Source organism: Homo sapiens, chromosome 18 (genome assembly GCF_000001405.40).
Source record: "Homo sapiens chromosome 18, GRCh38.p14 Primary Assembly".
NCBI classification, from domain to species: Eukaryota; Metazoa; Chordata; class Mammalia; order Primates; family Hominidae; genus Homo; species Homo sapiens.
The window spans coordinates 49605836-49619949 of record NC_000018.10 but is presented as its reverse complement, the minus strand read 5'-3'; the positions used below and the strand labels follow the sequence as shown (position 1 = coordinate 49619949).

General features: G+C 45.3%; 1 long non-coding RNA gene across 1 annotated transcript in view, besides 3 other annotated features; it reads right to left on the bottom strand.

Annotated features, from left to right (window-relative positions):
- LOC105372112 (uncharacterized) overlaps positions 1–7258 on the bottom strand; it is a 127792-nt gene extending 120534 nt beyond the window's left edge. The window contains exon 1 of the long non-coding RNA XR_007066363.1: positions 7081–7258. This is a non-coding gene — a long non-coding RNA (uncharacterized LOC105372112). The remainder of the gene's footprint in view (positions 1–7080) is intronic.
- Positions 5597–6472: an enhancer, noted in NCBI's record as "OCT4-NANOG-H3K27ac-H3K4me1 hESC enhancer chr18:47139848-47140723 (GRCh37/hg19 assembly coordinates)". NCBI's record gives its function as "activates a minimal SCP1, AML or CMV promoter by ChIP-STARR-seq in naive and primed H9 embryonic stem cells {active_cell/tissue: H9 hESC(naive and primed)}" and the evidence as "EXISTENCE:reporter gene assay evidence [ECO:0000049][PMID:30033119]".
- Positions 6473–7349: an enhancer, noted in NCBI's record as "OCT4-NANOG-H3K27ac-H3K4me1 hESC enhancer chr18:47138971-47139847 (GRCh37/hg19 assembly coordinates)". NCBI's record gives its function as "activates a minimal SCP1, AML or CMV promoter by ChIP-STARR-seq in naive H9 embryonic stem cells {active_cell/tissue: H9 hESC(naive)}" and the evidence as "EXISTENCE:reporter gene assay evidence [ECO:0000049][PMID:30033119]".
- Positions 9696–10895: an enhancer, noted in NCBI's record as "P300/CBP strongly-dependent group 1 enhancer chr18:47135425-47136624 (GRCh37/hg19 assembly coordinates)". NCBI's record gives its function as "activates an origin of replication core promoter dependent on BRD2, BRD4, P300/CBP, MED14 and CDK7 cofactors, with strong dependence on P300/CBP, by STARR-seq in HCT116 cells {active_cell/tissue: HCT116}" and the evidence as "EXISTENCE:reporter gene assay evidence [ECO:0000049][PMID:35650434]".

Genomic DNA, 14114 nt, shown 5'->3' with positions numbered 1-14114 from the left:
CATGGAAATGCACAACTGGCTTGGTGTGGCTCTGCAGATGCCCTCGGCTGGTGCAGGCACCCACAACAGATTTCTGGGACTCTCCCAACAATACCCTAAACCCCTGTCACACGCGTTGGTACCTCCCTAGTACTAGCTATCGCATTCCACCACAGATCACAGCCATCCAAGTGGCTCTGTTCATTGTTCTTTACCGTAAGTTCCTTAAGAGCAAAAACCTGATGGTTTTGATTTTTGTATCTTTGTTCAAAATTGCTCTCTGTGTGAAACGGATTGTATTTTGGCTGAATTCTACCATCCTCGTTCCAACATTTTGGCTCAGCCACCACTCAGAGATGGCCCCAGGAAGCCACCACCCCCTGCCCTGGCACTGGCCTGCTTCACAGGAGTGTTTTAACAAGATGATGGCTAGGGATTTCTAACCCAACCTACCCCACTCCCAGCAGCCAGATACGAAAGGAGAACTCCAGATTTTCAACCCTTTCCAGCTCAGCTGCCTCCCTTCCAAAAAAGAACTTCTGGGAGTTTGTGCGATCCCAAGTCTGCAGCTTCCATTGTCCAGCACAGGACTCCCTGGCCTATCCCCTTTATTAATTCAACCTCCAGGAGTGCTCCGAAGAGATGGCCACATTCCAATCACGTCGTAACTGGGGAAACAATAAAATGCCTGACTGGCTATAAACTGTCGCAGAGATAAAGGCCAGTTCCTGATCATTCCCCAACAATGGCCTTCTGGAGGGACTGGGAGTGCAGTCCCAGGAACACTTGGTTTGCTCACTCAGCAGAAATTAGAAAAACATTGCCAGCAATTTCTTTTTTTTTTTTCTTTGAGACAAGGTCCCGCTCTCACTCGGGCTGGAGTGCAGTGGCACAGTCATAGTTCACTGCAGCTTCGAATTCCTGGGCTCAGGCAATCTTCCTGTCTTGGCCTCCCAAAGCACTAGAATTACAGGCATGAACCACTGCACCCAGCCCCACATTGCCAGCTTTGAAGCCCCAACTGGCTCTAGCTCAGGGAAGAATGGGCAAGAGACACAAGGCAACAGATGGTGCTGCCAAGCTGGAGGGCCCCCAAATTGAGCAGAAAGCACCCTACACCCACAAACACCCCACACCCCTTGCAAGCCAGTGTGGTCTGCTTTAGCAGATATCAGGTAGGAAGAGTCCAGCTGGTCTGTAATCAAAAGAGTCAACTCTTACATCAGAACAGCATGTGCCAGCTCCTCAGGCCCTTCCACATTTTTATTTCATTTGATCCTCAAAACAAGCTAGGAAAAGTATTATCGTTCCCATTTCATAGATGAGAAAACTGAGACCGGGGTAGCTGAAGCATGCATGGATCTCAAGTAGCAGAACCACTCAGGTCTTCTGACTCTTTTTTTTTTTTTTTTTTTTTTTTTTTTGAGATGGAGTCTCACTCTGTTGCCCAGGCTGGAGTGCAGTGGCACGATCTTGGCTCACTGCAACTTCTGCCTCCCAGTTTCAAGCAATTCTCTGCCTCAGCCTCCCGAGTAGCTGGGGTTATAGGCACCCACCACCACGCCTGGCTAATTTTTGTATTTTTAGTAGAGATGGGGTTTCACCATCTTGGCCAGGCTGGTCTTGAACTCTTGACCTTGTGATCCACCTGTCTTGGCCTCCCAAAGTGCTGGGATTACAGGCTTGAGCCACCGCACCCAGCCCCTGACTCCTTAATTCACAGCTTTTTCCTAAAAAGTGCACGGCCTCCCCTTTACAGAGTGTAGTTTTTGCATCTGAAGTTATAAACAGACTCTGAAGATGCTGTAATTCTTTCATGCTCTCCAAGCCCATTTGGCAACAGTGTATCAGAAAAGGTCTCTTCCATTTCAGGATATAAGAACACTTCCTGGAACAAGCTCTGAGCAAGTCACAAAACATGCTCTCCCTGCCTGATCTGAGCCAGGTGGGGAAAAACATTGCCCTGGGATCCCCAGGCTCTCCAGCCGGCCTGATGGAGGTGGTCTGGGAATACATCCCACTGCAAAAGTAAAAGGACCCAGAGCACAGAGCTCCCTGTTCAAACAACCAATCTGAGCTTCCTTCAGAGTCAGATTGAAATGGCAAATTTCAATATAAATAATTTAGGAAACGTGAAAACCACTTTGTTTTTTCAGCTTACAATTTATCCAGCCAATCACCAAGTATGTTAGGGGCAACCCCTCTTTGCCCAGCCCAAGGCTAGGCACAGACAGAGAGGCAAATGCCTTTAGAAAACAGGCCCTTTGCAGAGCCCAGCGATGCATCATCTTCTCTTCTTTCCTGCCTGAAACTTCAAGGCTAAAGAAAAGAGAGAACAGAGTTTTATCAGAATCTCTGCTCCACCCACCAAGACTCAAAACCAGGCCTTCGTGGGTTAAGCTCTTCACGGTGCCAATTGCAGGCAGAAGCTCCTTCAATGCTTTGCTGTAGAACAGAGAGAAGGATGCACCAGGAAGGGCACCCAGGAGGCTGCCTTTTCTCCCTGCAGTTTTGGGTCTGCTCTGGTGCTAGATTACCTTGAAAGGTTGGTTACAGCACAGGGTAGAACCAGAGAGTTCTCAGCCCACCTCATTGGCCTATGGGCTACTTTCAGGGCAGGTCTGAACTGGTCTAGTCCAAACAACCACTTCTCATTGGAGCACATATACATGGCTCTACCTAAACCTCTAATCACCTAAGACTTGCTGTGGTCATCCTCACTCCTCAATGGGATGGCAAGTGGCCTGGGGGCAGGGAGGGAGGCAGAGCCCTTTGCCCTCCAAAGAATCCCTCCTTCCCTCTCAGTTGCTTAACATTCTTCCAGGCCCTTCTGATGAAAACCCACTCTCAAGAACGGACCTGAAAGCAGAATCAGAGCCACCGAAAGCTGGAATGACACCTTGATTTTCCAGATGAGGAGACTGAGATTATTACAGCACTTAAGATGTGTCCCCGCCCCTGCAACTCACACTTACAGAGACCAGGAAAATTCTAGGCATCAGTGAGGAGGGAAATATTATTTGTGAGTGGTTAGCACCTATTTGTGAAATCAACACTGGTAACTTCTGCTTCCCTTTTAAGATTCTTCATGGCCCGGTAAGGACAAGACTCAGCACACCCTTGCCACCCACAACACCAGTTATGGGAACAAATAAGTAAGCTATTCTGGGTCTATGTACCTGAGGGGAATGTGCTTGAGCTCGCACTTAAGCATCTATTCACAAGACATTGGCCTTAGGTCAATGATCAGAGCAACCTCAGATCCCTTTGCTCTTGCACCATTTTTCTCGGTTACACCAGAGTCACCATATGTCCTTCACCTCCAACCCCAGGACACTCACAGTTCACCCCAGGTAGGCAGTGACTGGCAGCAGGAGCCTTTATCCAACACCTTGCTCACACAAGCTGGTTCAAGAGACATCTATTGAGCACGTATTTTGTGCCAGGCCCTGGGATAGGTGCAGGCGGCTGAAGTCACAGAAGGCCTAGTCCCTATGCTCCCCACAGTCTCGTGGGGGAAGATGCATACACAACCAGCAACCCCAGCTAACCATGTGGGTGCTTTGCTAAAGCTCTTCAGAGGACTGCGGGGCTAAGACAACAGTGTGCAGCCCAGACTGAGGTGAGCAGGGGTGCCAAGGGGAGGCTGGGGAGCAGTGAGCAGGGGTGCTGAGGGGTAGCTGCAGGGCAGACATCCACCTACAGCCAATTTCAGTAAAATGTGGAAAGTGAAAGGACAGAGACATGTACAAAATCTGCCTTAAAACAGAAGCCTTCCCTACACCTGTCCCTTTTTTCTTCATTTTATTATCTCCTATCCTTCATAGCAGGGTTTTTTGAAAGTATTATCCACACTCATTCCCCACTCCATTGAAATTGTTCTATAATCACCAGTCACCTCATCATTGATGATCCAGACAGCTCACCTGCATCTTAGAAGCCCCCTAATGTATCTGGGTCTCTTGGTTACTCTCTCCTCCTTTCTTGGCCTCCCTCTCCCTACCCCGCCTGCCTCCCTGGCTGCTAACTCCTTGGTGGTTCTCTTTTTGGTTCTCTTCTTTTTTCATGCTACTCTATTTCCCCAGGGTCATTGTATTCGCATCCAGCTTCAACTACCACCCACCCCCCCCAACCCCCATTGATTAAAACAGTTTCCTGAGTGCCTATAATGTCCCAGGCATTGTGCTAAACACTTCATGTACGTTATCTTGTTTAGTCTTCCCATAATCTTACAAGATAGTACTTAGACTCCTTTTTAACAAACAAGGCAAACAACACACAGACAGAGCGTATGTTATGTCTTCTTCGAATGTGTATAATTAGGAAGAGGCAAAGCCAGGATTCAAATTCAGCTCGGTCTCCAAAACATCTTCTCTAAGGCACCAGGTTTCACCACCTCCAACATCAAGGTCTCTCCTTCAGTCCAGACCCATATGTCTGGACTAACTCCTGGGAGCTAACTTCCCAGGAGTTAGCTCCACCAAGCCAATCCACAGACACAGAAAGCAGAGGGGTGGCTGCCACTCTGTGGATATCTTTCCCAGGGGAAAACCTGTCAGGAAGAGAGCTTCCCTTCCTCCACCATGACTGTGCTTTCTATGTCTCCTCGGTCTCCATTCCCATGGCACCACCATGTACCCTGGCTCCAACCCCAGGTATTGAGCTGGAATCATCCCCAAACCCCCTCTTCCTCACAGCTTCCTTTCTCTCCCCACTGTCCCTGCCTTGGTCTCACTCCTCAGCAGTTCTGATACCTTCCTAGTCTCCGCATTTCCAGACACCCCAATAGTCTGTTCTCCACACTGCAGCCACTCTGATATAGTTTGGATATGTGTCCCTGCCCAAATCTCATGTTGAATCGTAATCCCCAGTGCTGGGGATGGGCCTGGTGAGAGGAGTTTGGGTCAAGAGGGCAGATCTCTCCTGGCTTGGTGCTCACCTAGCAATAGTGAGTTCTCTTGAGATCCAGTTGCTGTACAGTGTGGCACCTTTCCCCAAGCTCCCCGCCATGGGAAGGGCCTGCTCCCACTTTGCCTTCAGCCATGAGTAAAAGCTCCCGGAGGCCTCTCCAGAAGCAGAGGCCACCATGTTTCCTATATAGCCTGCAGAACTGTGAGCCAATTAAATCTCTTTTCTTATAAATTACCTAATCGGTTATTTCTTTTTTAGTGAAGTTTTATTATTATTATTATTATTATTATTATTATTATTATTATTTGAGATGGAGTTTCGCTCTTGTTGCCCAGGCTGGAGTGCAGTGAGGCGATCTTGGCTCACTGCAACCTCCGCCTCCCAGGTTCAAGCAATTCTCCTGCCTCAGCCTCCTCAGTAGCTGAGATTACAGGCACCTGCCACCATGCCCAGCTAATTTTTCTTTTTCTTTTTTTTGTATTTTTAGTAGAGATGAGGTTTCACCATGTTGGCCAGCGTGATCTTGAACTCCTGACTTCAGGTGATCCACCCACCTTGGCCTCCCAGAGTGCTAGGATTACAGGCATGAGCCACCGCACCTGGCCCAGTCGGGTATTTCTTTATAGCAACTCAAGAACAGCCTAACGCACATTCTCTTTCTAAAACATAATTCTAACCACATGACCCTCTCATTAAAATTCCTCACTGGTTGCCCAGTGCCCTCAAGTCAGCTCCTAAACTCTTTAGCTTGGAAGACAGAGCCTTTTAGGACCCACCCAACCTCGGGGTCTCCACTTTGCCTCTCTGCCTCTCCATGGCCCAGCTATGCTCCATCGTCTAGCCATAGCTGAATGACCTTAGCTACCTGTCGTTCCAAGAAAGCCTCAAACCCTTCCCGCTCATGTGATTTTGTACATGCCTTTCCCTGTCTGAAACAGCTGTGTGATAAACCCCTACTCATCCTTAATAATGTTCAGATGTCACCTCCTCCAGGAAGCCTTCCTCAGCTCCTCCCCACCTGCCTGCCCTTCCCGGGCACATTACAGTGCTCTCTTCTCAGAAACCCCAGAGCATTCAGTACCTCCCTCTATTCACTGGAATACACAGCAGCTCACTCAGCTGTAACCTCTGCACCCCCGCTGGGCTGCACACGCCTCATTCCAGGTGGGGCCTTATTAATCTTTGTATCTCCAGGCTTGGCACTGTGCCTGGCAAATAGTTTCTTTAATAGATATTCATTGGTTGGTTGATTGATTTATTAAATATAAAACAAGGTCCCCTGTAAAGGAACTGCAATTTAGAGGGGAAGCAAAACCAATCCCGGATGAGACAATAAAAGATAATGCCAAGAGCTAGCAAGTTGTTCTGACCACAAGGAGCTGTAGAAATTTGCAGGAGAAAGATATTTGAAAGAGCTCGAGCGGCCCATGCAGCAGGTTTCCTGGATGAGGAGAGCATTCATCAATGCACAAGCCTGGGCCAGGGCTCCACCTACACCTGGTTTCTGATCGGAAAGTAGCAGCATTAGGAGCCAGCATCGGTGCCAACAGGCACCCAGGGTCCCTTCCACATAATTAGCATGTCTCTGGGGGAGGCCTGAATCCCACAGTCTGGGATGTAGACAAAGAGAGTCTGTTCCAGTTATGCTAATTGCTGCCTCTCTCCCACAGGGGATGGGGCTGTGAGAGATTCCAAGAGGCAGCCAAGCGATGGGGAATTCCTTAGCTCCTGCTTCCCCTGCTCCTCCAGCCGCCTGCACCCAGAGGGGGGCCTGCCCTCCATCACCAGGAAAAGCTGTAGGCAGAGCTGCATCCATATGGGAGGTGGGATTTGAAGACCAGGCAGCTTCCTACCGAGGAGCCTCAAAGCTTAAAATTCCACTTTAGAAACAGTGCTTTCTCCAGAATGCCGCTTTTTAAATGCAAATGACCCTGAAAGAAGTAACACATGACGTTCCTAACACTTACCAAGGTTCCTGGGCAGCTTTTCCAAGGGACCTGAGGGCAGCCAGGATGGCAGGTGCCCTGAGCTGTAGAGGGAATGCAGGAAGACTGGAGGCCCTGGCTCACAAATCCACTCCTGCCACAAATGTGCCCCCCACTCCCGTTAATGCCCAGTGGCCCATTGCTAAGCTGGCCCTTCCCTGTGCCACCCGGGCTGAATAACTCTCTCATCCTTAGCAGCACCCACCATCACATTCCTAAACGTCTCTGGTCAGGGACTGTCTCTGCTCGGTATCAGCAATTCCCAGAGGCCACAGGCGGTCTTCCGCTGCTCTACTGAGGTGCTGCTCCAGGGTTGGGAAGCATCTGGGAGGGACTAGAAGCACTTGATAGCCCTCCACAGTGGTTCTCAAGTTCCAGTGTGCATCGGCATCACCTGGAGAGCCTGCTAAAACAGACTGCTTGGGGAGGCGGAGGCAATGGGTGACGTTGGTCAAAGAGTACAGAGTTTCAGTTAGACAGGATGACTAATTTCTGGATGTCTATTGCACAGCACGGTGACTACAGTTAATAATCTTAATAATCATGTATCGTATACTTGAAAGTTGCTAAGAGTAGATTTTAAGTGTTCTTTTCACATACAAAAGATAACTATGCGAGATGATGAACATATTAAATAGCTTGATTGTGGTCATTTCACAATGTATATATACATGTTATGTATCATGAATGTATACAATCATGCTTTTTAAAAAAACATTGTTGAGCTCCACCCCCAGAGTTCCTGATTCAGTAAGTCTGAGATGCGGCCTGATAATCTGCATTTCTAACAAGTTCCCAAGTGATACTGATGCCCGTTGAGGACTCACACTTTGAGAACCACGGCTATGTAGCCTTGCTACACAAGCTGCAGTCTGCAGACCAGCATCCCTGGCATCATCTGGGAGCTGGTTAGAAATGCAGAATCAGAAGCTCCCGTTTAGCAAGGTCCCCAGGTGATTTGCATGCACATTCCATTCCGAGAGGCCTTCCCTAAAGTAGTGCTTCTCAAAGTGTGGTCCAGGCCGCCTGCATCACAATCATCAAGGAGCTTGTTGATAATGAAGATGCAGCCGGGCACGGTGGCTCACGCCTGTAATCCCAGCACTTTGGGAGGCCAAGGCAGGTGGACCACTTGACGTCAGGAGTTGGAGACCAGCCTGGCCAACATGGTGAAACCCCGTCTCTACTAAAAATACAAAAATTACCTGGGCGTGGTGGCAGGCACCTATAATCCCAGCTACTTGGGAGGCTGAGGCAGGAAAATTGCTTGAACCCACGAGGTGGAGGTTGCAGTGAGCTGAGATCATGCCACTGTACTCCAGCCTGGGTGACAGAGTGAGACTCTGTCTCAAAAAAAAATTTTGAGATAAAAATAAAAGTAATGAAGATGCCCAGCCCCACCCCAGGTCCCCTGACTCGGAACTTCTGCAGACAGAGGTCAAGAAAGTGCATTTTAACAGCCCTCCAATAATCCTTACGACTACCACCATCAGCACTGTGTCCATTTTGGCTGCTCATTAGAATCTCCTGCAGTGCTTGTCCAGGCTGTACCCCAGAACAATTAAATCAGGCTCATTTTGGGGACACCCAGGCAATGGCATTTTTTAGAAGTCCCTCAGTTCATTCCAATGTGCATTTGAAGTCGAGAACTTCTGGTCAGCAGCAGCATCCTCTTGACAGCAAGTGTTTGAACATTTACCCCAGGTTACTTTACATCAGAGCTTCTCAAATTTGGCTGCAAATCAGATTCCCCTGGGAAGCATTTTACGTTTTATTTTTTAAGATGAAATTCAGTTATCTTGGGTGTATACCTAGGAATGAAATTGCTGGGTCATATAAAAACTCCACATTTAACATTTTTGGAAATGCCAACCTGTTTTCCAAAGCATCTGCACCATTTTACATCCCCATCAACAGTGTATGAGGGTTCTGAGTTCTCCACGTCCTCACCAACACTTCTTTTCTTTTCTTTTTTTTAATATATCCATTGTGGGGGCACAAAATATACTACAAAATGTGGCACTTTGACATACAAATTAAGAAGCTGGCTTAATGTCTCTCTGACCTTCCCCCACCTCTCCTGTCTTTCCCAAAGCACAGGATGAGGCTATTCTCTGAAATTTCCTGAACTACCTAGAAACTGGGCCTGCTAAAGAGAAACACAATTGCCTTTGATCCTTTCACTAAAATTACATTAACCGGAGAAGATTAAAATTCATGTCACAGAGGAAGAGACTGATAATTAAACACCACACCTACAGTCCAGACCAACTTTGCTCTAAACTATTGTTTGTTCTCCAGTACCTTCAATTTACAAACAGAATCCTTCCCAAGCTAATTTCTGTCTCCAAGGTCCATTCATCTCTCCTAAATCATTTACCCCTACGCCCCCTGTCTCCCCTTACCCTATGTAAAAGAGTATGAAAGCATCTGGACCTCAGTGGGTTTTTGGGTAATTATTCTCCTGCGATTCCCCCATGCTTAGGCACATCAAGCAAATTTGTATGCCTTTTTTCCTGTTAATCCATCTACTGTCAATTCACTTCAACAGCCTTAGACTCAAATCTTCAGAGGGAAAGTTTGAAATTCTCCCACACCGTCCTATTAGGTGTGAAGTGTATCTCTCAGCTTTGATTTGCATTTCCTTAATGATATTTAATATCTTTTTCTGTACTTATGGGCCACTTGTAAATCTTCCTTGGGAAAATATCCATTCAAATATTTTGCCTATTTTTAATTGGGTTGTCTTTTTATTTTTGAGCTGTAAGAGCCTGGAGGGCTATTAAAGTCATTCATACTTGGGCTTCAAAACAGTTCAATTAAATCAGAACACTGGAGTGGGCCTGGGATCAGTATTTTTTTAAATTCCCCTGATCTGTAGTCAGGGTTGGAAATCACTGGTTTATGCCATCTGGCCACGCAGGAACAGAGATGCCACGTAACAGCCCACATCATTTATGAGCTCACCCGATCACCATCAGGCCTGTCTGGGCCTGTTCCTCATCATACATTAAGTGCCTTTTTTGTGCCAACCACAGTGTTAAAGTGAGGAGAGGTGGAAGTCAAGAGCAAATGGAGATAAATAAGATGCAGCTACTGTGTATAAGAGCCTTCAGCCTCATAGAGAAGATGGGCCCCGCACAAATCATTACAACACAAAGTGCTCCAATGGATACATGTGCAGAGTGTCAAAGGGCTTCAAGAAAGAGAAAAGCAACTCATTCCTTCCTGAGTGCATCAGTATCACTGAAGGTGGGTTGATGGTCACCCGGGCCTCTGCTCTAAGGACAGTCCCCTAGCAGCAGACAGAGTTAGCACCCATGGGAGCTTGTTAGAAATGTAGAGTCCCAGGCCCCACCCCAGACTTACTGAATCAGAATCAAGTTTAACTAGGTCCCCAGGTGACTCATGTGTACATTAAAGTTTGAAATGCACTGACCTCAAGTGATGTCAATTAAGAAGCATCCAGAACATCTGCCCACCTAAAACAAAATAAAAGCTACTGCAATGAGCTCATTAAATTGTTCCATAAGGTAACTGACTTCCTCTCTGTATCCCACATATTAAATAACTCTTAGTCATATATATCTTAGCAGGAATTTACCAGAATGGTTTCACCTATGCCATTCTCTTTCTGAAGCTTCTCTGCCAGCCAAGTTACTAAGGAACAGGAGTTGGAACCAGATTGAGGCAATATTGGCACTTGGGACACAAGCACAGTTGAAATTGAAGTATAGCAGCAACAGAGAAAGCAGAAAACAGCTCAGTGATTTCCTTCAAAGCCAGTCCTTACTTTACAATTTTATAGCCGATTTGTAGAGGCAAGTGTCTTGCCCAGCATCACACAATAAATTACTGGCCGGCAATAGCCAGTTTAAAATTTGGGTGAAATGACCCATTTGACTCTATTCAACACATTAGATCATACCTGATCTTGATCCTTCAACAGGCTAAATCACAACCTATCCCCTGACTGTGGGGCTTTCCAAGGTTGAATGATCCACGCCCCAGTCTCATATTGGGTTACATCTAATTCCCAAGTATCTTCCTACATAAAAGGTCCCACGTCTTCCCAGAGGTGATTCAGCCCAGTGTTTTGTGAGCTTTGCTGCTGGAGAAATCTTTTCATTTAACTTAAATGCCATATGCCACAATGGGAGATGAGAATTCTTAGGGGCAACTGATTTCCTTGTGCCAGATTTCCATGCTGAAATGCCAAATGAGATCCTCCTGCTCTCAGCCCCTCAGTCTCACAGACTAAGACCCCAAATGAGACCTCAGGTGTAATGCTCAGTGAGGGGTGAAGAGATGTGTGAATATACAGTATGGCTGGTTCTATTAAAGCCTTAATTCAAAATCCCTTTGGGCCACTGCCAAAAGCCCTTCTGAGCTCCAAATCCTAAGACTTAAGCCTAACTCTTTTCTTCTCTTCCCCCTCACTGACTGGGCATTAACAAAGAGCCAGGAACTTCAGAATTTGTCCATTCAAGTATCAAGTGCCTACTCGCTTCAGCCTCTGCAGTGTCCAGGCCAGGCCCCCTCCTTATCTCCCTACACAGCCCTCAGCTGTGGTCCTAGGAGCACTCCAGGAGGTACAAACTCAGCTGCAGCTTCCCTCCTTCAACACTCAGAATCTTACACATGGGCTCTCCTTACTCATTTTTAACCACTTTATTGAGATAGCATTAACATACCATACAATTTGCCCATTTAAGAGTACAAGTCAGCAGTAGTTAGTATGTTCACAGAGTTGTACAACCATCAGTACAATCCATTTCAGAACATTTTTATCACACCAAAAAGAAACCCTGTACCATTTAGCCGTCACTCCCTTATGTCCCTCACCCAGCCCTAGCCCCAGTCCCTCAACCAAAGGAAACCACTAATTGACTTTCTGTCTCTATAGATTTGCCTATTCTGGACGTTTCTGTTGTTGGGGCTCAGAAAACAATATCCAAAAATGAAGGCCTCAGATGCAACAGTTTTCACTGACCTTATCCTGCCCTCCTGTCTCTGGCCTCTCATTCTCTCCCCTAGGCTAGCCATAGAAACTAGACTCCCTCTTCCCCAAGGAGGGTCATAGAAACCAGAACCCCTTTCCCCAAAGCCAGCCATAAAACCTGAAGATATCATATTACTCTAACTTTCTCCCTGCCTGTCTGTGTAAAAACTGCTCATAAAGAATTATCTCAGCCGGGCGCCGTGGCTCATGCCTGTAATCCCAGCACTTTGGGAGGCCGAGGTGGGTGGATCACGAGGTCAGGAGATCAAGACCATCTTGGCTAACATGGTGAAACCCCATTTCTACTAAAAATACAAAAAATTAGCCAGGCGTGGTGGTGGGTGCCTGTAGTCCCAGCTACTCGGGAGGCTGAGGCGGGAGAATGGTGTGAACCCAGGAGGCGGAGCTTGCAGTGAGCCGAGATGGCGCCACTGCACGGCAGCCTGGTCAACAGGAGTGAGACTCTGTCTCAAAAAAAAAAAAAAAAAAAAAAAAAGAATTATCTCACCTACCTAAATGCATGATGGTGGACATTTAGGTTGATTCCATTTATTTGCTATTGTGAATACTGCTGCAATGAACATACATGTAGAATTATATTTTCGAGGTTCATCTACATCAGAACATAATTCCGATGTTACTCCATTGTATTCATAGGCCATATTTTGCTTAACCTTTCTTCAGTTGATGGACATTTGGGTTGTTTCCACTGTTTGGCTATTATGAATAATGCCACTATGAACATTCATGTACAAGTTTTTGTGTAGACATATATTTTCAGTTACTTCGGGTATTTACTTAGGAGTAGAATTGTTGGGTCATATGATAACTATTTAACTTTTAAAGGAACTGCCAAAGTGTTATCCAAAAGGACTGCATCAATTTACATTCCCACCAGCAGTGTATGCGCATTCCAACTTCTTCACATCCTTGTCCACACTTGTTATTATCTGTACATCTTATTATGCTCATCCTAGTGAGTACAAAGTGGTTTTAACTTGCATTTTCCTGATAACTAATAATTTTGTGTGTATTTACATGGGCTTATTGGCCATTTGTATATTTTCTTTGGAGAAATGTGTATTCATGTCCTTTGCTCATTTATAATTGGATTAGTTGGGGGGTTTTTTGAGTTGTTCTTTATTTGGGATATAAGCCTTTTATCAAATATATGATTTGCAAATATTTTCTCCCATTCTCTAGGTTGTCTTTTCACTTTCTTGATATGTCTTTTGATGCACAAAAATTTTAATTTTGATAAAGTATAATTTATCTATTTTTCTTTCATTACTTTTGCTTTTGTTGTTATATCTAAGCATCCATTGCTAAATCCAAGGTCATTAATAGTCATTCCTATGTTTTTTTCTAAGAATTTTATAGTTTTACTGCTTATATTTAGGTCATTGATCCATTTTTAATTAATTTTTGTGTAGTATCAGATAAGATCCAACTTTATTCATTTGCATGTAAATATTCAGTTGTCCCAGCACCATTGTTGAAGAGATTATTATTTCCCACACTGAATGGTCTTAGCACCCTTGTTGCACACCAACTGACCAGAAATGTATGTGTTTATTTCTGAAGTCTATATTCCACTGATCTATATGTCTATACTTCTGACAGTACCACACTATTTTGATCACTATTTTAAAACTTTGTAGTAAGTTTTAAAATCAGTAAGTGTTAGTCCTTCAATTTTATTCTTCCTTTTCAAGATTGTTTTGGCTACTCAGGACCCCTTGTAATTCCATATAAATGTTAGAATCCGCTTGTCAATTTTCACAAATAAGCCAGCTGAGGTTTTGATAGAAATTGCATTGAATCTGTAGAAGAGTTAGGGGATTATTGCCATCTTAACAATGTCAATACATTTTTCAGTTCCAGAATTTCTGCTTGGTTCCTATGATGATTTCTATCTCTTCCTTGATATTTTCTATTTGTTCACACATCATTCTTTTGGTTTGCTTTAGCTCTTTGCGCATATTTAAGACTTTTGATTTATAGTCTTTGTCTAGTAAGTTCAATGTCTGTGCTTCCTCAGCAAAAGTTTGTGTTAATTTCTTCTGTAAATGAACCATACTTCCTTGTTTCTTTACGTGCTTCGTACCTTTTTGTTTAAAACAGCATCTTTAACTCTGGAAATCAGATTCTTCCCCCTACTCAGGATTTATTTTCATTGCTTGCTATGGGTTGTATCTATTCACTTGCTTAGTGACTTTTCTAAACTATCTTTGTAA